Raw genomic sequence first — 21,366 nt, 5'->3', positions numbered from 1 at the left:
GACATGCTCATGCTGAAAAAACTAACTGAATTTGAATTTTTTTTTGGTTTTCTTTTTTTGAGATGGAGTCTCACTCCATTGCCCAGGCTGGAGTGCAGTGGCACAATCTTGGCTCACTGCAACCTCCGCCTCCTGGGTTCAAGCAATTCTCCTGTCTCAGCCTCCCAAGTAGCTGGGATTACAGGTGCCTGCCACCTTGCCCAGCTAATTTTTGTATTTTTAGTAGAGACGGGGTTTCACCTTGTTGGTCAGGCTGGTCTCGAACTCTTGACCTCAGGTGATCCACCCACCTCGGCATCCCAAAGTGCTGGGATTACAGGTGTGAGCCACCGCACCCGGCCTGAATTTGAATTTAACTGGGAAGCCTTTTTTTATTTTTTCCTCTTCTTTCTGAATCTGGTAACCCTAGCAAGGGAGAAGTGACTAGCCAGGTGCCAGGTGGGTCTACGGCCTGAGTCTCCAGCTCTCTATTCACATTCTGCCTGCTTCCTTGATGCTTCCTCCTCCTTAAATGCTTTCTGTCAGAGACCAGGGGGCACTCTAGGCCTGGCTGCCCAGCACGCGGAATCCAGGAGCACTCCTACCTCCTAATCCCTGCCCCAGCTGCCCTCTGGATGGTCAGGGAAGGCCTGAGGAGGTGATGTTTGAGCTGAGATTTGAGAGAATGTGACCAGAGATGATCCAGGAAAGAACATTCCATGGAGAGGTGGGAGTGAACTTGGTGCATCTGAAAACAGAAAGGCTAGCGTGGTTCTGCGATGTGGGAAGGGAGTGGAAACATGGAAACACAGTCAGCATTTCCTTTTTTTTTTTTTTTTTTTTTTGAGACGGAGTTTTGCTCTTGTTGTCCAGGCTGGAGTGTAATGGCGCGGTCTTGGCTCACCACAACCTCTGCCTCCTGGGTTCAAGTGATTCTCTTGCCTCAGCCTCCGGAGTAGCTGGGATTACAGGCATGTGCCACCCCGCCCGGCTAATTTTGTATTTTTAGTAGAGATGGGGTTTCTCCACGTTGGTCAGGCTGGTCTCTAGCTCCCGATCTCAGGTGATCCGCCCGCCTCGGCCTCCCAAAGTGCTGGGATTACAGGCGTTAGCACAACTCAGGAGGCCCTGGAACTCATCTTGTGCCACTCAAGAAAGGGCAGGAGGGGTCCTCTCCTTTCCCACCTTTCCCAAGCTGAAGGACTGCACACTTCTCAGGCTTCCAAGGCAGGAGCTTCGGCAGCAGGAACAGGGTTGCAAGGTAGTTAGTCTGGGTGTCTGTCGTCCTGGGTTGGGACATCTGGGAGCTGGGGCAAGGCCTCTGGGCCCTAGTGCCAGAGAGCAGTTTGGTGGCGTTGCCTGTTCTTTAAAATGGGTTAGGTGTAGCCATGAGCCCCCCCATGCAGCGGGTGTGCAGGCCTCTCCCTCAGTCAGAACACCCTCACCCACCCCTCCCCACTTGAAGCAGGCCCTTGAGAACACTGCTGGCAGGGAGGCGGCTGCTCTTCCTCCTAAGGGAAAAGCCTGCAGCCCCGTGCTGCTGGGCCGTGGGGTGAGGGGGAAGCCAAAGGGCCCCTATCACCCCTCAGCAGGAGTCTCTCCTGGCTTTGGAAGGGGCTGAAGGCCCGGGGCTCTCACGAGGGAACTCAGCCCTGCTCAGCCGGTCAGGACTCCTCCTCCACGTCTAAATCCACAGACCAAACAAAGGACATGGCTCAGTTCCACCTTCAATCCACAGGGATTCTGCCTGTTAGCACGCTAAGGAAACTGTTTCTTACTTTAAATTATCCATTAATTTCCTCCAACTGAAAGATACTCTACAAATTTTCTGTTGTTGGAGGGTTTAAGCTTGGTCCCTCTGAGGGGGTGGGCCCTGCTGTGTCGGCCCCTTGTGTCTGCTCGTGGAAGGTGTGCCATGTGCCACCGTGTGCCATATGCAGCTGACACGCCTGTGCGTCTCGCCTGGCGCTGGAGACTGCTCTCTGTGTACTAAGCGAGTACTGGATCCCCAGGGCCTATCTTGCCCACTGCCTGTGGCAATACACAGGCAATACACAAAGCGCATTCAAGTAAGCAGGTCTCCCTGCCCCCCGGCCTCCCAGAACCTCGGTGCCTGGAGGGCAGGTGGGGGAGGGCGTTCCTGAATGGAGGCCGGTTTCCCTCTGCGGGGAGGAAACCCCATTTCCCTCCTACCCCTAGGCGCTTGCTACATCTGGCCCGGCATCAGACAGGAAAGAACCCTTTCTTCCCAGCTTGTAGGAAGTCTGAGCTGGGCCCCTTATCTACCCACAGCACTTCCTGGACCGGGGGCCTGGACCGGGCTCCGAAGGGGCTGGCTCCCGGTCTTGGTCTTGGCCTCGGCGCCCTCGTTTCTCTGCGCTTTGGGCAGGGGAAGCTGCGGACGGCAAGCTCTCGGCTTTCGTGAGAGCCTGGTGGAATCGGTGTTCCCCGAAGGCTACTCTGCGGGGGCGGGGGCTAGTCCGGGCCTTCCCGGCAGTATCGTCTCCCCCGTGGGGGCTGGGGAGGTGCCCCCAGGGCTCCCGGAGCGGCGGCGTGGCCAAGGCCCGAACCGGGTCTGACATCTAGTGGCCTCCTGGGCCCGGGCAGGGCGAGGGCGGGGCAGGGAAGAAGGTGGAGGGCAGAATGGGAGGCGTGGAGCGAGAAAATCAGGAAGCGCGGGACCAAGCCGGGGAAGGGCGGCGGGTCTCGCCCCTGGCACCCGCTCTCCTCGGGGCCCGTCCCATCCCCCAGGCCTGGCCGACCCCAGGTCCTTCCGTGCGCAGTCGGGGCTCGCAAGGACGAATCCCGCGGCCCTCGAGGCAGGCCCGGGGGAGCTCCCGGCCCTCCACCCCCGCAGGCCGCAGATCCCACGCACCCCCGATCATGGGGGCCCCGGAGGGAGGTCGCGAGGCCGGGCTCACGGTGGCCGCGGTTCGCCCACGTGCGGGCCCGGAGCTGGCAGGGCCCGGTCCCGAGCGTGGCCGCAACCGCGGGGACCTGGCACGTGCGGGGCAGCCCCGGGGGCCGCGTACGCCACTTCCGGTCCCGGAGACACCGCCCAGCCCGCCGCCCGGTTGCCATGGCGACGCCGTCGCGCCACGGCCCGCAGAACCGGCCAAGCGACCCGGGCGCGGCGCGGGGAGGCTGAAGGGACGCTCGGGTAGGCAAGGTAGGAGGCCGGGCTGGGGGTGGGAGCGGAGCGCGCAGGGGTGCGGGGCGGGGGCGGCCCAGGTGAGCCCTGACTGCGCAGGGAGGGACAGCGCGGGGCTCCCGAGTAGCAGCCGGCCTCGCACCTGCCCCTTGCGGCCGCGCACTGGACTGCGGCGCCGACCCGCACCCTGGGCCCGAGGGCTGCAGGGCTCGCCCGCCCTCTCGGAGCCGAGCCTCTCCCGGTCCAGGCGGCCCCTGCCCTGGCCTGCCCGGGTGCCGGGTCTCTGCTGAAGTTAGAACCGAGACCCCCGCTTGCTGGTGACCCCGAGTTTGGATCTTTGCTCCTGCGCCGCGTTCTAGAGCAAGGTAGGGTGCAAATGGACCAACCAGCCTTTGCCACGGCTGCCCTCTTGAAATCTGAAACCGGAGCCACCGCCTCTTGCCCCGAGCAGGGCCCGGGCTGCAACGTGGAGCCGCAGGTCCCCGCCTGTGTCTCCCGACGCCCCCAGCTTCTGAGCGCGAGGGTGGGAGTTTCCCGAGTGGGAAAGCCCCATGGCTTCGGTGGCCTCGGTGGCCCTGTGGTGGGTCAGGCCGGTGCCAACTGCGCTGAGGGCGGAGCTGCCGCCACCTTGACACCTGGGAGATGGCAGGGCCACCCTCCCTCCCTCCCTCCCTGCCCTGTCCCCGACTGTATCACGGAGCGAGGATCATCCGTGTGGATCTGGGGTCCCCTTCCCAGACTTCTCCTTTCTGGTCGTCCTCCTCTCATTCATTCCACCTTGGCAGCCTTTGTGGATTTTCTGACTCCGTAAATGAAGTTACATCTAGGGCGCCTAGATTCTGCCCCTTTGGTTTAATAGCTAATGAAAAAAAAAAAAAAAAAGCTTTGCCACCTCCTCTAGGTGCCTGGATTTCTCCCGGTGAAATTTGATGGAGGCAGGAAAATACGAGGCGGTGGCAGCCCCACCTCCTTGCATGAGGGAGCCTCCTAGAGCTGGAGGTGGAACCACCCTGCTTGTCCCACTCCTTTTCTTTCTTGCTTTATTGCTTTCTTGCTTTCCTTACTTTCCTTCCTTCTTTTTTTTTTGAGATGGAGTCTTGCTCTGTTGCCAGGAGGCTGGAGTGCAGAGGGCAATATCAGCTCACTGCAACCTCCATCTTCCGGGTTCAAGCGATTCTCCTGTTCCAGCCTCCCTAGTAGCTGGGATTACAGGTGTGTGCCACAACACGCAGCTAATTTTTGCATTTTTAGGAGAGACGGGGTTTCACCATGTTGGCCAGGCTGGTCTCGAACTCCTAACCTCAAGTGATCTGCCCGCCTTGGCATCCCAAAGTGCTAGGATTACAGACGTGAGCCACCGTGCCCAGCCTTGTCCTACTACTTTTCTGCCCTCACCACTTTTCCTTGGCAGGCAGAGCTTGGGCTCCTGCTAATACTGGGATGGTTCAGTGGCATTAGATGGCATTGGTGGAGGGGAATGAGAAATTAACCCCCTCTGAAAGCGTAGCTTCACTGGGAAAAAGCACTCTACTGTCTGAACAATTCATAAATGAATTTTGGGAATATACAATGTCACAGATTAAAAGCAGACCATCCTGTGTTCTTCCAGCCCCAGGAGCTTCTGCTTGGTGTGCAGGGGCTAATGGTGGACAGCAATGGAGTGTAGATTTATTAGAGACGGCTGCCATCTGGCTCTCTGTGGCCCCAAACCTCATGTGTCAGCAGTGTGACTCTTTCTAAGGTGCTCTTAGGACCAGATTTCGTTTTTGTAAGATTGGTCTTTGATGGAATGCCTACTTTGTGGCAGGCACTGTGCTGGGCGCTGGCACACCTTTATCCACTTACTCCTTCTGTGTTCAATAAGGTAGCTCCAGATATCCTCCACTTTATAGATTAGGAAGCAGGCTTGGAGAAGGGACTTGGCTTGTCCAGGAGCTGATGGTTATAAATAATGAGTCTGTTTTGAAATCACATCTCTCTAACCTGGGCTGCGCTGGGCCTTTCATGGGCCGTTGGCCCTCTGGCCTTCACGGGCCCCGTCTTCCATAAAAAAAATAATAACAATTGGCCCGGCGCAGTGGTGAAAGCGCGTCTCTACAAAAGATACAAAAAATTAGCCAGGCATCGTGGAGCACGCCTGTAATCCCAGACTCGGGGAGTCTGAGGCAGGAGAATTGCTTGGACCCGGAAGGCAGAGGTTGCGGTGACCCGAGATCTTGCCATTGCACTCCAGCCTCAAAAAAAAAAAAATTAATAAAAATTATATTTTACAACTGCATTGGTATAAATACAAGTATAGTCCAGACTGGATTACAATTAATTTTAAAAACAAAACATTTTAGGGCTGGCTCATGTCTGTCTGTAATCCCAGAGCTTTGGGAGGCTGGGGCAGGAGGACTGCTTGAGACCAGGAGTTTGAGACTAGCCTGCACAACATAGTGAGACCCTATCTCTCCAAAAAAAGAAAAAATTAACTGGGCATTTCAGCATAGCTGTAGTTCCAGCTACTTGAGAGGCTGAGGTGGGAGGATCCCTCGAGCCCAGGAGTTCGAGGCTGCTGTGAGCTATGATCATGCCATCGTATTCCAGCCTGGGTGACAGAGGTAGACACTGTTAACAACAACAACAAAAAAATTAATTAAAATAAGTTTTAAAAAATTGCAACATTTTCCTCAACCCTAAATGTTCATTTTTTTCTTCTGATTTTCATGGAAATGGAAACATTTTGGTTTGTAAGCATTGGGAGCCCTCTGTCTTGTGGGAGAAAGGAGCTCAGTGTTTGACTTCAGGCTCTGCTGCTTCCTGGGTACCTAGTTCCTTGGTACCTGGTCCAAGCAGCCTGGATACCCCGGGTCCCTGGGCTGCCTGGGCCAGGACAGCCGCCCTAGGATAAATGGAAATGCAGCCCCTGCGGCTTGTTCACCCTCCTGTAATGCCTTCTCTCTTACCCTTTGGTCAGGGCCTGGTGTCTCTGCATGCACCAGGGCTTAGTGCCATGCTGGTACAAGCGTGGGGAGGATGCAGGAGGACTGGCATGGGATGGGGAGCACTGCCTGGGAAGCCCCTTCTTCCTGGGGCTACTGGGGTGCTAAGAAAGTACCCTAATAGCTCACACCACACTTTGCTTTCTCCTTCATCACATGCTAGGACGCTCTAGGGCAATTGAGCTGTTTTCCCCTTCACCCATCAAGAAGAGATATCGGCCTTTCCGCAGTCACAGTCTTTCCTAACTCAATTCAAACTCTGCTGTTGATAAGGAGGGCTGTAGCCAGCCCAGGCTGCCCGCTTCCCAGCCTCCCCTGCTCCGCCTTCCGCCCCCGAGGCTGTGCACCATGTGCAGTGTCTGGTCCCCAATAATGAGATTAGTCTTGGTTGCCTTTTAATAAAACGCAGTGGGCACCGGGAGGGAGAGCGATGCTTGGCTCAGTGAAGATCTGCGGGTCATGCTGTCCCTAATGCGCTGATTGCATTAAGTGGATTCTGGCTGCAGGTAGGGTGAGTGGGTGGGGACGAGGGTGACTCTCACAGCTCTAAGATCCAGAAACTGCCAGAGATCTGTCACCCTCATCCTGAGCTGTCACAGAGGAAGGCAAGTGACTGTGTGAGGGGCTACGTGAGCTCCCTCTGGTTGCAAGGTTCTGGTCTGCAGGGCAGTGGAGCCCTTGGGGGTGGGGAGTGGCAGCTTCCAGGCCTTGAAGCTGCTGCCCACAGTTCTGCTCTGAGAACACAGAGGGCCCAAGAACAGCCGGTGTCCCAGGGCTGCCCAGTGAGGAGGGAAGAGCGAGAGAGTATTCTTGCTGTCAAGACTGGGAAATGAGGGCCACGATTCAAAGCCTTGCTTCCTAGGGAGAAATCTCACCCAATGTCCAGGTTTGCAAATGCAGCAGACACATTTGTGGGTGGGTCAGATTCTGTCCAGAGATACCAGAATGTCTATCCCTGTACACCCCCACCTCTGGCATGGGACAGCCCTTCCCTGCACACAAATGGGTTATCAATTATGTCCAATGAATGGCCTCACGAGAGTCCTGTTGCGGAAGGGATCTTCCGCTTATCTCCTGTAAAGCACAGAGCCACGCTCAGAACCTACGGACTGTGGTCGCCTGCAGGCCAGCCATGGGCTTTCCTTTCATCCTTACACTTAGATTTTGAAGCCTCGCCTTTGAATCAGAAGCAGGCTGCTGTCATTCCAGAGGCCGCTGTTCATCTCTGGCTTCCTCCCAGATGCCCAGGTGCCCCGGGTGCCTGGGCTGCCTAGGCCAGGGCACCCGCCTTAGGAGCAAATGGAAATGCATCTTCCTCGGCTTGTTTGCCCTCCTGTAACCCCTTCCCTCTTGCCTTCGGTCAGGGCCTGCTGTCTTGCACGCACCAGTGCTTAGTGCCATGGTGGAACCGAGGCGGGGAGGACGCAGGAGGACTGGCACAGGAGGGGGGGCACCGCCCGGGAGCTTCCCCTGCGTCAAAGCAGCTTCCTCAGTGAGCTCCAACACAGACCCTTGCTGGCCTCAGTCTCTGGAAAGACTGACAGCACCACCCTAGTTCCTGGGCCTTGGAAAGGCCAAAGCCACGAGCAGGCAGCCACTGTTCGGCAGGAGAGCTAGAGATGCTATTGCCCACAGACATCAAAGCAGGGGTGCCGTCTTCCGTGTGCATGCTGGGACGGGTCTTGGAGGCCCAGATTAGCTCCTGGCTTGAACTTGTACCACCCTTACCTGAAAATTGGGTCTGTACCAAAGCTCATCTGCACGCCCCTTTAGGGCAGGGACCAGGCCCCCTCTGTGTGGCCCTAGCACCTGGCCAAGTGCAGGTGGCTGCGGGTTGAGTTGAGCTGCTATTTGCTGATGGGAATTTGGGGGCCTGTCGCTTGTCCTCTTTGAGCCTCCATTTCCTGGCCTGTCAAATTGGGGCAATGCTCCTGTTATCCACACAGTGTCATTTAAGGGTGACATTAGAGATGGCATGAAGTGCCCAGCACAGAGCAGGTGCTCACAGGCTGTTGGGTCCCCACCCTACTGACACACCAAGCACACGTCTGCCCTGCCATGGTGGGGAGCAAACAATGTTATGGTTCCGACTCCCCGGGAGGCCAGGCCGGGCATTTCACTGTAGGATGTTGAAGCCGCAGGCAGTCGTCGCTGCGAGAAGAGAGCCTGGCTCTGATGTCCACTGTCTTCCAGGGAGCCTGGTGGGAAGGAAGGAGTGGGCAGCGGCCCCTCGCTCTGCGGGCCTCTCCTGCCCTTTGTACTCCACGAGGTGTGAGGAAGTTGCCGGGTCACCCAGCAGAGGGAGAGGTGATGTCCCCTCTGTTCTTCCTAATTTGTAGCTAATCAGATTCTGCCTGCAGCCAGGCTCTCTGGGGATGAATCTAATAAAGGAGGCGGCGACCTGGAGAGGAGGACAGACAACAAGTGACCAGGGGGGACAGCACTTCTTTCAGTACATTTTCCTGTTAGACTCGGGGTATTAGAGACCCAAAGATACCCAAGGAGGAGTGAGAGCGTCCCTGCCTTCGAGGAGCAGACAGGGCACCGCGAGGGTAAGGAGGCTCCGGGAGAGCCTGGGGACAGAGTGATCTGCGCACCGCGGTGCCTGAGGAGTGGAGGCAGGGGTGTGGGCCCACAGCAGGGAGCCAGGCTGGGCCATGTCCTTGGATTCTGTGAGCCCAGGCGTCTCCTCTAGAGGGCCTAGCAGGAACAGTGGGGGCTGCAGATGGAAACGGGCAGGATCATGCCATGCAGTTGGCATTTCACTGGCACTCGGGGGCACTTACGCAGGGGACAGCATGATGTTGGGAGCTGGCTTTGTCCCTGGCATGTCTGTCACGTTGAAGAGGGAGAAGCTGCAGGCCCTGACTTGGGTGGGGCAGTGAGGATGCTCAGGAGGGAAGTGAGGGGAGGGGTGCCAGCATGCGGCGGCCTGGGCAGCCTTCTGTGGAGGAGCTGAGGTGTCACCTGGGCCCGGAAGAAGGGCAGCCCTGCTAGCTAGTGGGGAGGGCATGAGAGAACTTGGCGACGATGGGAGAGAAGGTGACTTGGGACGAGCTGGGTTTGAAGCGTCTGTGGGATGTCCAGGTAGAGATGAGTAGTGAACCGTCAGAAATGGGGCTTGAATTTGGGGTGGCGGGGACAGAACTGATACCCGTGTAGGTGACAGATAAGGACAGAGGCAGGAGTTCCAAAAATAGGATTTATTGTTGGCTGGGGCTTCTGGAATCCCGTATTCCCGTCCACCCTGGGAATGTGGATTGGAGCTATGTTTCTGGGAGATGATTTGATGGAATGTGTCAGAAGTCTAAAACAGAACCTAGCCCTTGTTTCAGGATTCCCTGCAGAGAAGTTTGCAGATGACCACATCCTGTTGTTTATTTGGTGGAAAACTGAAATCGAAAGCTAGCTAAATGCTGAACAATGGGAACTAGTTGGCTAAAAAATGGCCGTGCAATGCAAGAGTGTGAGGTTACGAAAATGATGATGTGGGCGCGTATCCATTGACACAAACATCCATGTGTGCTACGCCCTCAGTTAAAAAGCAGGTTAGAAAATGGAATAAATGATCCTGCTTCTATAAAAGGATGCATATGTGTTTTAGGAAGAAGGTGTGTGAGGATATAGATCAAATTCTGATGGCCTGTCATTTTACCTTTTTTGCTGATCCATATTCTACTGCAGTGCGTGTGGATTATTAGCACACACACACACCCTTTTTTTTTTAATTAAAAAAAATTTTTTTTGAGACAGAGTCTCATTCTGTCACCCAGGCTGGAATGCAGTGGTGCGATCTTGGCCCACTGCAAACTCTGCCTCCTGAGCTCAAGGGATTCTAGTGCCTCAGCCTCCCAAGTAGCTGGGATTACAGGTGTGAGCCACCATGCCCGGCTAATTTTTATATTTTTAGTAGAGATAGGGTTTCACCATGTTGTGGCTGGTCTTGAACTCCTGGCCTCAGGTGATCCACTCGCCTTGGCCTCCCCAGGTGCTGGGATTATAGGTGTGAGCCATCGCACCCGGCCCACACACACACCCCCCCTTTAATGGTGGAGTTGCCAACAGTTGTCCGATGTGGCAGAGAGAACTGGGGAGCAGAGAAGGAGCCCATCACTGGGAGGGACTGAAAACCAGCTCCTGGGCACTGCAGGGCAGAGCGTGTGCCGGGTGTGAAGGGGGTCAGTGCCCCTGTGCTGGCCACTGTCCCCCTAGTTCTGATACAGTTGCTGCCAGGAGAGGCTGGACCGTGGCAAGGGGCCAGTGGGGAACCGGGGCGGGATGGGGGGCAGCAGCAGTGCTCTGGGGTCTGCTTGTGGTGGCCATGGTGGTGGCAGTTGCAGTGGCAACTGTGGGCCATGGCAGCACTTTTCCGTGGCGCACAGGCCGCTGCCGGGTGAGGGGAGAGCCCCGCTTGTTCTCCTCCTGCCGCCTCTCCTCCCATCCCCAGCTGCTGGGTGCTCTCCGGCCGGCATGAAGCTGTGCAGGCACTGGGCACTCCCTTGGGCTCTTAGCGGGGCCTTCTCATTGCTGCTTCGCTAGGAACCACCCGCTCTCCTTTCCTCCTGGAGGGCCACGTGGGGCCGAGCACCTGGGACAGCCGTGCTGAGCTCTACCCGGCCCCTTCGCAGGCCTCGTTTCTGGGGGCCTTCAGTTTTGGAAACCTCCCTGAGGGCCCCTCTAGAGTGCGGGTCCGCCCCGCCCCTGGTGTGGAGGGGAAGTGCCCTGTCCCTGTGTGCTGACAGGTCCCTGTGTGCAGCATGGTCGGGGCACTTCTACTCTGCAGGCGCGGCCGGGCGGGGAGCGGGGTGGGGGGCGGGCGGGGGCGTGGGGGGAGCGGGGCTGGCTCTCCTGGGTGTGGGGTGGGGAGGCCTCCTCATCGCCAGCATGGAGTTAAAAACCAGGATGGGGGAGGGAGACTTCCCATTTCTCCCGAGATGTACTTCATGACGCGTCTGGAGAAAAGGTGTGACCAGCCCCTTCCTTCCCGTCAAGGAGCGCGCTTGCCTGTGTAACTCACCTGTAAAGCCCACCCAGGGAAGGCCAGGGCCTCATGAAACAGAAAACAAAGCCGGGCACTGGGCCCTTGAGCTCACTAGAATTTGGGGTATCTTTCCTTGCACCCTCACCGCATATGGAACTCCTGGCGTCGTGTCCCAGGTCACGCCTGTCCCCGTGGGGAGGCTGGGCCCCTCCCCCCAGCCACTCCCGAGACTTGAGACCTCTGCCTCAGGACGATGGGTGGGAAGGGGCTTGCGGGTAGGAGAGCGAGCGCTGCTTCCAGCGGGAGCCTCGGGGGAGGGTGGCGGGGCCGCCGTGGGAGGAGCCGCGCCGCATCTCAGGCGCAGTCTCTAGGGGCTGTGCGCATCCGTGGGGGGGACATGCGCATCTCAGGGGGGCTGCTCGCATCTGGGGGTGCTGTGTGCATCTCGGGGGGGCTGTGCCCATCTAGCGGGGTGGCTGTGCGCATCTGGAGGGGGCTGTGCGCAACCCGGGGGGGGTGTTGCGCGCATCTAGCAGGGGCGGCTGTGCGCATTTCGGGGGGGGCTGTGCATATCTGGGGGGACCGTGCTTATCTCCGGGGGCGGCTGTGCGCATCTTGAGGGGTGTGTACATCTCGGGGGGCCTGTGCGCATCTTGGGGGGCTGTGTGCATCCGCGGGGGCTGTGCGCATCTCGGGGTGCTGTGCGCTGCTCCTCTGAGCTCTGCTCTTTCTTGCAGCGTTTGCCTCAGCATGGAGGGCGGGGCCGCGGCAGCCACCCCCACAGCACTGCCTTACTACGTGGCCTTCTCCCAGCTGCTGGGCCTGACCTTGGTGGCCATGACCGGCGCGTGGCTCGGGCTGTACCGAGGCGGCATTGCCTGGGAGAGCGACCTGCAGTTCAACGCGCACCCCCTCTGCATGGTCATAGGCCTGATCTTCCTGCAGGGAAATGGTGAGTCCCATGGGCCGCTCCTCTTTTCCCGGGCTTGTGGGGGTCCCTGAGAGGCAGTTTGCAGGGGTCTTGTCACCCCTGCGGTCTCTTCTGGTTGGACAAATCTAAGATTCTAGAAAAGACAGAGACAGAAGCTGGTTCAGAGCCTGGGGAGATGGAATCCAAACCCAGGCTCTGAGGTTGGTGAGTGGCAGCTCCTCTCCAGCCTGGTCCAGCATTTTCACCTCGTTTCCACACACAGCATCCAAGGCGGGCACTTCTTGCAGCAGAGGGAAAGGAATGAGGCTCCGAGCCAGGCCCTGCTGCAGGGGTGGTTTGAATTGAGGGAAAAAAAGTAATCATATGTGAGAGTTTGTATGCGTGCGTGCGTGCGCGCGCATGTGTGTTGTTGGTCTTGGACTTGGCAGAGCTAGAGCGCCTCCCCCTGGGGCAGGAGCAAGGCAGTGCTTGGCCTCCACCTGCCTCCAGGCCAGGGATCCAGGAAGCGGGATCTGCATCCGGTTGACCCGCTCTTCCTAGAGGTGGTCCTGGTGACAGCCATTCCTGAGCAGCAGAAAGCTAAGAGGCATTCCTCACGTGACCTGGCCTTGCCCACCTCTTCTGGACGCGGGAGATCAGGCTGGGATCACAAGGTTCTGCTTGGGAGCCAGGCGCCTGCTTGCTAGGAGTAGGACCATCTGCCCAGGCTTAGGTGGGGGCCTGTGTGAGGAGCCACGTGGCTAACAGGTGAACTCAGAGGCTGCTTGTTGCCTCAGTGTGACCAACAGTGGACCTCAAACACAGCCTGGAATTTGCAGGACACCTGACAAGAAGGTGGGTGGAGGGGGGCGTCTGCTGGGCCGGGCAGCTCCTTTAGGTGGGGACGAGGGCAGAGGCGCTGCCTTCACTGCCTGTCCTGGTGGTGGGGACTGTGGTGCAGCCTCCGGCCCTGCCCTCTTTGTGCACAGCTGGGGGAGGTTGGAGGGTGGGGGAGGGGTGTTAAGGTGCACACAGCCCTAGGTGCCCTCAGAGAAGGCCAGGAGCTGCCCAGGGTCCCCAGGGAACCTGGCTTTCTCCTCCGGTTCCTGCAGCTAGGCTCCTGTTACAAGCCGTCAGCTCACATCACCTCTCCACCAAGGTGCCTCCTTGCTGCTGGGGCAGGAGGCCTCACGCACAGGCGGATGCACTCACGTTCCCTCTCTCACCTCCCACAGCCCTGCTGGTTTACCGTGTCTTCAGGAACGAAGCTAAACGCACCACCAAGGTCCTGCACGGGCTGCTGCACATCTTTGCGCTCGTCATCGCCCTGGTTGGTGAGTTCCCGGGCGCGGCCTTCCCCGCCACCTGCCTGCCTCTTCAGGTATGGCAAACAGCCGCTTCACCTGCTCTGTTCCCTCCCCAGAGCTGTGATGGGCCCGCCCCCACCCCAAACATCCCCTGCAGGGCCACTAGGTGCTGGCAGCCCTCGAGCTGGGACTAAAGCCCAGAAGTCCCGCTAGCTGGTTCCCCTGGGTCATCTTACACCTTCCTTTTCCACATCCAACCCTGTCCTCATATGACCTGTCTCTGGCCCAGGCTTGGTGGCGGTGTTCGACTACCACAGGAAGAAGGGCTACGCTGACCTGTACAGCCTACACAGCTGGTGCGGGATCCTTGTCTTTGTCCTGTACTTTGTGCAGGTGAGTCCTTCCAACACCCCGGGCCTGGGGCCACCTACCAGGGAGGTGGGAGGAGGAGGGGAGCTGGGCTGAAATGTACCTCATGGAAGGGCCTGATTTCTGGGGTGTGTGCAGGTGAGAGAGCTGCCTTCCCAGGCCTGTGCGGGTGCAAAGCTAGGATTGGCGGCCAAGGGTGCCCAGCTCCCAGGCGCCCCATGGCTGACTCAGCACTTTTGGCCACAAGCCCAGCTTTCTGAGTGTGCCAAGGCCTCAAGCGTTGGGGGACCGGTCCCTTGTCCCTAAGCGCTTAGTGCTCCTCCCACCACTGTGCTGAGGAGGAAGGAAACCAGGCAGGGCTGAGGGGCTCACAGTCGCCACGTGGGCACGTGGGTGTGGGCCTGGCCGACCTCGGCTGCTGGGGTGTCCGGCCGCCCTGTCCCGGAACCGTCTCCTTTCAAATCCTAGTGGCTGGTGGGCTTCAGCTTCTTCCTGTTCCCCGGAGCTTCATTCTCCCTGCGGAGCCGCTACCGCCCACAGCACATCTTCTTTGGTGCTACCATCTTCCTCCTTTCCGTGGGCACCGCCCTGCTGGGCCTGAAGGAGGCACTGCTGTTCAACCTCGGGTGAGTGTCCTGGGTGGGAGAGGGCAGGGCCTGGGCCACCCTTGCACAGACCTCACCCTGCCTTCAGCTTCCCCAGCTGTGGCTTCCTGAGCCGCCTCTCGTGGCGTCACAACTGGTGGCTGTAGTTATGCTTGCTAAGATTTGGGTGCTTGGGGCTTGGCTTTGGTTAGCTTTCTTGATTTTACCCTTTCAAAGAAACTTCTGGGCTATGGGCACCCTATTTATTCCCACCACGCAGCAGGATCTGCAGGACAACTGCTTAGAGCTAGAATATTGATCTAGGTTTTTACATTGCCCATCTCTTTTTGTCTGTGAGCCATAGCTGGAGATTGCTGGTTGGGGGCGGGGGGATGGTTGTTCTCTTCAGGCAGGGCAGGGAGGCAGGGGCTGGTGCTGGAATCCCCATGGCATCTTTAAGGCCCAGGATACAAAGGGCATTTGGCCTAATTGTGACCCCTTGGGCAGCTTCTCCCTTCCTCTCACCCCTGCAGGGGCAAGTATAGCGCATTTGAGCCCGAGGGTGTCCTGGCCAACGTGCTGGGCCTGCTGCTGGCCTGCTTCGGTGGGGCGGTGCTCTACATCTTGACCCGGGCCGACTGGAAGCGGCCTTCCCAGGCGGAAGAGCAGGCCCTCTCCATGGACTTCAAGACGCTGACGGAGGGAGATAGCCCCGGCTCCCAGTGATGCGCCCGGCCGGCCCTGGGGGTTCGCGGGGTGTCTTCTTGCCTGCCCCTGCTGAGGCGTCTTCAGGACTGCAGGCTCCGGAGAGTGGCTCTGGCAGCAGGCGGGCGCGTGGGTGCAGCTGCATCTGTTTGAGTGCTGCTTTCTGGGGTCAGGTCTCCGCCTCCTCTGCTTCTCCTTTCTCCGCTGCTATAGACCAGTTCATTGTGTGTGGCTCCCGTGTCTCTGTTGCCCCCTTCAGTGCAGAAGGCTTTGGGTAGGACTTCGGGTGTTCGGTCCTGGTCGCAGAGCACAGATCTTTAAAGAAGCGAGAGAGGAGGCCCCACCCTCCTGGCAGCAGATGCCTGGGGCAAGGCCAGGGGAAACTGGGGGGGCCTCAGGGACAGGCCTGGAAAGGCCACGATGGCTGCTGAATTCAAACAAGGAGTCCCTCCAGCCTGAATAACACGTGGCACAAATGGGCCCGGCCTTTGGCAGAGGAGCAAGTGATATGATGTGTAAAGTATGTTGGTGGTGAAAGCAAGGTTCCCCAGGAGAGGGGAGGGACTGGCCCCTGGGAAGCTCTGAGATGAGGCTGTGGCCCAGCTGTAGTCCTGACCTTCCTCTTCTTTAACCCTTTAGCCCTAGGATGGCTTTGGTGGGAGAGGGGATAGAAGCCCATGACTTCAGACAGACTTTCTCTTGGCAGATGCAGGCGGGCCTCCTCCCAGGCTGCTCCAGACATGGGGGTTGGGGATGGGGGGCACCTTGCAGCCCCTTCCTGCTGGGGCTCCCTCCTTGTAGCACCCCCCTTGCGGCTCAGCTCTGGTTTCCTCTCCCAGGCTCACCCAGGCTCTGCTCAGGCTGGGAGGCAGAGGGCACAAACCTTATAATTTTTTAAATGAAAAACCGCTGCTGCTGGCTGTGGCTAGAGCCCCCTGGGGCTGCTGGAGCTGCTGCCTCTGTTCTGGAGGACGAGCCTTCTCCTTATCTGCTGCCCATCTTTCCAGGAAGTCAGGATGGAGTCAGAACAACTACAGTCATCCCCCGTGGTGTCTGCACATCACTCCAGCCCCATAAAGAGTGTCATGTTAGCTGAGTCACCATTTGGCTTCGGCCTGGAAATAGTGTGATTAGAACACTGATCGTGTGCGAGGCCAGGAGATCAAGACCATCCTGACTAACAAACACAGTGAAACCCCGTCTCTACTAAAAATACAAAAAAATTAGCCAGGCGTGGTGGTGGGCGCCTGTAGTCCCAGCTACTTGGGAGGCTGAGGCAGGAGAATGGTGTGAACCCGGGAGATGGCGCTTGCAGTGAGCTGAGATTGCACTCCAGCCTGGGCGACAGGCTCAAAAAAGAAAAAAAAAAGAACACCGATCATGTGCTTCTTGGATCTGGTGACTGTTCTCTCCCTGTTTTCCTTTCTTTTTGGGTGTTTGAGGAGCATGGCTTAGCTTGAGACACACACAGACACTGTGTACTTCAGTGAAGGGCTTAATATACAGTTTCCAAACCTGACGACTCTTCTTCTTGTAATGGCTGCCCTTTTCCTACCTGAGGCCGTCTTAGAGAAAGGGGCCAGTCTCCTCTAATGCTCAGATTTCCCATAGTTGGCTTTTGCTGTGTCTCCTGCCTCAGGCAGTGTCATTTCTGGGAGCAGGTGGTTGTAGTCCAGGCCCCTCCCCAGCAGGGTCTGCCCAGGCTCCTTCGAGCCCCTTTCCCCGCCTCCTCTCAGCCTGTCCGGATGACAGTGTTCGCCTCCTGTTTAGACTGTACACTCTTCAGGGGTAGGGGTGCCGTCAGTTCTTCAATCAGCTGGCACACACTTGTATAGTGAAATGTTTACATGTGGGAAAACTCCGCCTTAGACAAACTACCAAAGTACAATCGTGTCTCTCTCTAGCCGGAATGCTACAGAGAGAAATGGAACCTTAGATTTGCAACAAAAGTCTGTAAACTGGTCTGTTTGCCAAAGTGAACACTGGATGACTAAGGAGCTGAAGAAGGCCCCCAGAAGCGGATTTGTGGTGGGTTATTTTATTTTGCCTGTGGCCAATCTTCTGTGAAATACAATGTGCTGTTGGTGCAACAGATGATTCAATAAATGTCTACAGCAGACCTCTCGCCTGTTATCTTCCTTTACTGTGGTAATAAAAGGAGCCGGAGCTTTTAGCAGCCAGACACATGACGTTAGCTCTAGGCCTGAGAGAAATTGAATATCCGCAGGCTGGGCACAGAAGGTAAAGCGATTAGTGATATTGATCATGGCCTAGGGGCTGAAAAGGCCCAGCGGTTGTCCAGTCTCGACCCAGCAGAGGCAGTGTTGTTTCCACATGGTTAGATAAGCCCTTTCCTCTCAGCCTGAGAGGGTGGCCTGGATGGTGGAGCTGCAAGAGCCTGATAAGAGCCTTGGCAAGGAAGGTCCCCCAGTGTTTAATGGACCCCTTTCCCTTTGAAATCAGTCTTTTTGATCCTTAAGAAGAGGAGCAAAGCTTTTGGAACGAGCTGAGATTCCACTTTAGATCCACGTACGTGGCTCAGGCAGAAGGTGAGTTTTTGGCAAATTTGGGTGGGATCGTACTGTGCGCTTTGTGCCTTGTCACTTAAAGCAGTGGCCGCCAACCTTTTTGGCAGCAGGAACAGGTTTTGTGGAAGACAATTTTTCCACAGACCAGGGCTGGGGGTGGGGGATAGTTTTGGGATGATTCAAGCACGTTACATTTATTATGCATTTTTATATTATTACATTGTAACATATAATGAAATAATTATACAACTTACCATAATGTAGAATCAATGGGAGCCCTGAGCTTGTTTTCCTGAAACTAGACAGTCTCATCTGGGGGTGATGGGAGACAGTGACAGATCATTCGATTCTCCTAAGGAGCATGCAACCTAGATCCCTCGCATGCGTAGTTCATAATTAATAGGGTCTGCACTCCTATGAGAATCTAATGCTGCAGCTGATCTGACAGGAGGCGGAGCTCAGGTGGTCATGCTCACCCGCTGCTGCTCACCTCCTACTGTGCAGCCAGGTTCTAACAGCCACAGACCCATACTGGTCTGTGGCCCTGGGGCTGGGGACCTCTGACTTACTTAAAGCAATTTAAAAACTCACCAGAGCTCACTATTTAAAGGGACCCAACAGCAAATCCTCTAATAAGGTAACAGGAGTCCCTGCTTCCCCGCGTTGGTCTCAACTTTGTCTTCTGCATTGTAGCTGGTCTCTAACGTGTAGGAGCCAGAACGGAGAGGTCTTTCCTTAGGGCACCTGTAGAGTCCCTCCTGAATCAAGGCTTCCATGTGGACCTTTATTTTTATTTTATTTTTTTGAGACGGAGTTTCGCTCTTGTTGCCCAGGCTGGAGTGCAATGGCGCAATCTCAGCTCACTGCAACCTCCGCCTCCTGGGTTCAAGCGATTCTCCTGCCTCAGCCTCCTGAGTAGCTGGGATTACAGGCATGCGCCACCACACTCAGCTAATTTTGTATTTTTAGTAGAGATGATGGGGTTTCTCCATGTTGGTCAGGCTGGTCTTGAACTCCCTACCTCAGGTGATCCACCCGCCTTGGCCTCCCAAAGTGCTGGGATTACAGGTGTGAGCCACCACGCCCAGCTGAGTGTGGACCTTTATTTACTGAAAAGCATTCAAAGCACAAGGCTTGATACATGTCACAAACTGGTTCCTCAGTCAGCATCTCATTTCTGTTTTTTTTTTTTTTTTTTTTTTTTTTGCACCAGCCTCTGAATCTTATGGGTCTCTGTGAATATTGAAGTGATCCCAGTCACCAAGGGATGATGCCTCCCTCTCCAGCCAGCCACTTCACCTCTTCCTCTACGAATCTCTGGCTGGATAATAGCAGGGACCTCATTTTCTTACTGGGGTCCCAAAGCGACTCCTCTTGACTGTGGCATAGAGTTATTTCTCCAAACAAGCACGCGGCATTTCCCAAGCCATCCTCCTGGACCCAGCGCCTGCACTCCGTGGGGCGCCATTCGGGTTGCTTGCTCTTTTCAGACCATCCCTTCTGAGAGAGGAGGCAGCGTGGTGGAGGGAAGAGCTGTCAGTGTGGCTGATTCAGAGGCCTACCTGTGCCTCTGTGACCCTGAGCAACTTCAGCTCTCAGGATCTGCTTCTGCATTTGTTTTGGAGACAGCAGTGTCGTCTGTCGAGGTGTGAGGAATACATTAGGGAACACATGTGAAGTCCCTATCACAGTGTCTGGGACACAATGGACCTCCCAAGAGGATGGCCTGTTAGAATGGACTCTGAGCACCTTCTCTTCTATGTGGGCCCTCTCTTCATCACAGGGCCTTCCAGACATGATACCTGTTATCAGTGCCCCATCTTATTCCTGAGAATGGAATAACTCAGCTGCCAAGACTCCAAGCTCCTCCAACTTGTTTTTAAAGCTGAAAGAGGGTGACTCCATTCCCCGCTGGTTCGCCTACCCATTCCCAGCCGACCGCAGGGGAGTTTGGCCACCATGTGCACGTGCGTACTGTGTCTGCCTGCAGTTACCAAAAGGTACCCATGAGCAGATATCCAGGGGAAGAAAGTCTGACTTACTTAGTGCTTCGGAGGATCTACACAGACTTCTGCTGAGTTTGCTGTTTGCTTCTACTCTGAGTAGCTTTTTATTAAGGTTGAGGGTAAATTCTTTTTAAGAAGTATTAATATTTTAAATGAATCACTCCTTTTCCTTTCCTCCAATGTCCCAGGACTTCTTAAAAAGCTGGGGGTTTGGCCAGGTGTGGTGGCTCATGCCTGTAATCCCAGCACTTTGAGAGGCCAAGGCGGGAGGACAGCTTGAGGCCAGGAGTTCAAGACCAGCCTGGGCAACATAACAAGACTCCATCTCTGCAAAACAAAACAAAAGTTAGCAGGGCGTGGTGGCATGCACTGTGGTCCCAGGTACTTGGGAGGCTGAGGTGGGTGGGTCACTTGAGCTCAGGAGGTTGAGGCTGCAGTGAGCTATGATCACACCACTGCACTCCAGCCTGGGTGACAGAGTGAGACTCCATCTAAAAACAAAACAAAACATCTAGGTCGGGCACAGTGGCTTATGCCTGTAATTCCAGCACTTTGGGAGGCTGAGGTAGGTGGATCACTTGAGGTCAGGAGTTTGAGACCAGCCTTGGCAACATGGCGAAACCCTGTCTCTACTAAAAATACAAAAATTAGCTGGGCATGGTGGCGGGTGCCTGTAATTCCAGCTACTAGGGAGGCTGAGGCAGGAAAATTGTTTGAACCTGGGAGGAGGAGGTTGCAGTGAGCCGGGCTCACGCCATTGCACTCTAGCCTGGGTGACAGACTCTGTCTCAAAAAAAAAAAAAAAAAAAAAAAAAAAAGAAAGAAAAAATATAAATTAAAAAGCTGGGGTTTTGCCAATGACTTTTTTTTTTTTTTTGAGATGGACCCTCGCTGTGTCACCCAGGCTGGAGTACAGTGGCACGATCTCGGCTCACTGCAAGCTCTGCCTCCTGGGTTCATGCCATTCTCTTGCCTCAGCCTCCCGAGTAGCTGGGACTACAGGTGACTGCCACCACGCCTGGCTAATTTTTTGTATTTTGTTTAGTACAGACGGGGTTTCACCGTGTTAGCCAGGATGGTCTCGATCTCCTGACCTCGTGATCCGCCCGCCTCAGCCTCCCAAAGTGCTGGGATTACAGGCGTGAGCCACCGTGCCCGGCCCCGACTTACCCATTTTTTAATGAAATAACTGGAGCAGCCCAGGAATGGTTTTGAGATTGAGCAGGTGGCTGCTGCCAGAGTCCCCTCTTCTCTTTGAAGGCAACTGTGGCATCTAGGCTGGGCTGTGTGTTGCCTGCAGTTTGTCTGCTTCCCTAGGCTTTGGGAAATGCAGGTATGCACAGCAGGAATGTTTGTTTAGCACAAATCTGATGTCAAGAGGAAGTGGTCTCCCTCCTCGCTTGTCCCTGAAGTAAACACAGAGGTAGCAGTTAAACAGGAAAGGCTGCAGGCTCAGTGCTGCTCCCCCGCTTCCCCACTCCCTTTTAGATGGTATTGAGTCTCCAGCCAGTTGCAGGAAACCTGCCACTTTTCCATTCACAATGCAGCTGCCTAGCTCTCTATATGGTGAGGACTGGAGTTCGACCAGATTTCTGATGAAAAGACAAAGCCCCTGGAAGCAGTGGGCCTCCAGTTGTGACGAAGCCCTTAGGTCTGCAGTGGGAGCTGTGCCCTCTGCTCGCTACCCTCTCAGCATGCAGCCTCTAAACACAGCCACTCAAGCTGGCAGCCCACCTCAGCCTTGGCTTTGGTAGGGTGGCTGGATTGGGTGCAGCTTCAGCTACAAAATGAAACAAGAGCTCAGTGCTCCCTGGGTATAGCTAGAGAGAAACCTCTTCCAATGAAGAAAAAGCCCCCCTTTC

General features: G+C 56.2%; 1 protein-coding gene across 4 annotated transcripts, besides 9 other annotated features; it reads left to right on the top strand.

Annotated features, from left to right (window-relative positions):
* Positions 875 to 1,687: an enhancer, noted in NCBI's record as "H3K27ac-H3K4me1 hESC enhancer chr17:61525067-61525879 (GRCh37/hg19 assembly coordinates)". NCBI's record gives its function as "activates a minimal SCP1, AML or CMV promoter by ChIP-STARR-seq in naive H9 embryonic stem cells {active_cell/tissue: H9 hESC(naive)}" and the evidence as "EXISTENCE:reporter gene assay evidence [ECO:0000049][PMID:30033119]".
* Positions 1,688 to 2,501: an enhancer, noted in NCBI's record as "H3K27ac-H3K4me1 hESC enhancer chr17:61524253-61525066 (GRCh37/hg19 assembly coordinates)". NCBI's record gives its function as "activates a minimal SCP1, AML or CMV promoter by ChIP-STARR-seq in naive H9 embryonic stem cells {active_cell/tissue: H9 hESC(naive)}" and the evidence as "EXISTENCE:reporter gene assay evidence [ECO:0000049][PMID:30033119]".
* Positions 2,191 to 2,330: an enhancer, noted in NCBI's record as "active region_12544". NCBI's record gives its function as "activates an Ori minimal core promoter by ATAC-STARR-seq in GM12878 lymphoblastoid cells {active_cell/tissue: GM12878}" and the evidence as "EXISTENCE:reporter gene assay evidence [ECO:0000049][PMID:35858748]".
* Positions 2,471 to 2,660: a silencer, noted in NCBI's record as "silent region_8816". NCBI's record gives its function as "represses an Ori minimal core promoter by ATAC-STARR-seq in GM12878 lymphoblastoid cells {active_cell/tissue: GM12878}" and the evidence as "EXISTENCE:reporter gene assay evidence [ECO:0000049][PMID:35858748]".
* CYB561 (cytochrome b561) lies at positions 2,754 to 17,089 on the top strand. 4 transcript variants are annotated; one of them, NM_001017916.2, is made up of 6 exons: positions 2,754 to 3,495; positions 11,833 to 12,047; positions 13,241 to 13,339; positions 13,602 to 13,705; positions 14,150 to 14,307; positions 14,799 to 17,089. In NM_001017916.2, exons 2-6 carry the CDS (start codon positions 11,846 to 11,848, stop codon positions 14,989 to 14,991), a joined length of 756 nt encoding a protein of 251 aa, NP_001017916.1. In that variant the 5' UTR covers positions 2,754 to 3,495; positions 11,833 to 11,845; the 3' UTR covers positions 14,992 to 17,089. The 4 variants fall into 4 exon arrangements, with proteins under 4 accessions (NP_001017916.1, NP_001906.3, NP_001017917.1 ...); NM_001915.4 differs by having other exon boundaries at positions 3,087 to 3,148; NM_001017917.2 differs by lacking the exon at positions 2,754 to 3,495 and adding an exon at positions 8,566 to 8,666.
* Positions 2,831 to 3,390: a silencer, noted in NCBI's record as "silent region_8815". NCBI's record gives its function as "represses an Ori minimal core promoter by ATAC-STARR-seq in GM12878 lymphoblastoid cells {active_cell/tissue: GM12878}" and the evidence as "EXISTENCE:reporter gene assay evidence [ECO:0000049][PMID:35858748]".
* Positions 11,006 to 11,920: an enhancer, noted in NCBI's record as "H3K27ac-H3K4me1 hESC enhancer chr17:61514834-61515748 (GRCh37/hg19 assembly coordinates)". NCBI's record gives its function as "activates a minimal SCP1, AML or CMV promoter by ChIP-STARR-seq in naive H9 embryonic stem cells {active_cell/tissue: H9 hESC(naive)}" and the evidence as "EXISTENCE:reporter gene assay evidence [ECO:0000049][PMID:30033119]".
* Positions 11,921 to 12,835: an enhancer, noted in NCBI's record as "H3K27ac-H3K4me1 hESC enhancer chr17:61513919-61514833 (GRCh37/hg19 assembly coordinates)". NCBI's record gives its function as "activates a minimal SCP1, AML or CMV promoter by ChIP-STARR-seq in naive H9 embryonic stem cells {active_cell/tissue: H9 hESC(naive)}" and the evidence as "EXISTENCE:reporter gene assay evidence [ECO:0000049][PMID:30033119]".
* Positions 12,331 to 12,625: an enhancer, noted in NCBI's record as "tiled region #1575; HepG2 Activating non-DNase unmatched - State 13:Ctcf, and K562 Activating non-DNase unmatched - State 14:Gen5'". NCBI's record gives its function as "activates a minimal TATA promoter and a strong SV40 promoter by Sharpr-MPRA in HepG2 and K562 cells {active_cell/tissue: HepG2 | K562}" and the evidence as "EXISTENCE:reporter gene assay evidence [ECO:0000049][PMID:27701403]".
* Positions 14,145 to 14,312: a silencer, noted in NCBI's record as "fragment chr17:61512442-61512609 (GRCh37/hg19 assembly coordinates)". NCBI's record gives its function as "represses an EF-1alpha promoter that drives an FKBP-Casp9 reporter gene in an ReSE screen in K562 erythroleukemia cells {active_cell/tissue: K562}" and the evidence as "EXISTENCE:reporter gene assay evidence [ECO:0000049][PMID:32094911]".
* Positions 17,090 to 21,366: the final 4,277 nt, after the last annotated feature.

This window comes from Homo sapiens, chromosome 17, assembly GCF_000001405.40.
Source record: "Homo sapiens chromosome 17, GRCh38.p14 Primary Assembly".
NCBI lineage: Eukaryota > Metazoa > Chordata > Mammalia > Primates > Hominidae > Homo > Homo sapiens.
The sequence above is the reverse complement of the archived record's forward strand: the minus strand, read 5'-3'. Positions and strand labels throughout refer to the sequence as shown.

Excerpts from the sequence above, each read along its gene's own strand:
- CYB561 (NM_001330421.2), top strand. Across the intron at positions 13,706-14,149 it reads TTGTCCTGTACTTTGTGCAG|TGGCTGGTGGGCTTCAGCTT; the intron begins GTGAGTCCTTCC and ends TTCAAATCCTAG. Across the intron at positions 14,308-14,798 it reads GCACTGCTGTTCAACCTCGG|GGGCAAGTATAGCGCATTTG; the intron begins GTGAGTGTCCTG and ends TCACCCCTGCAG.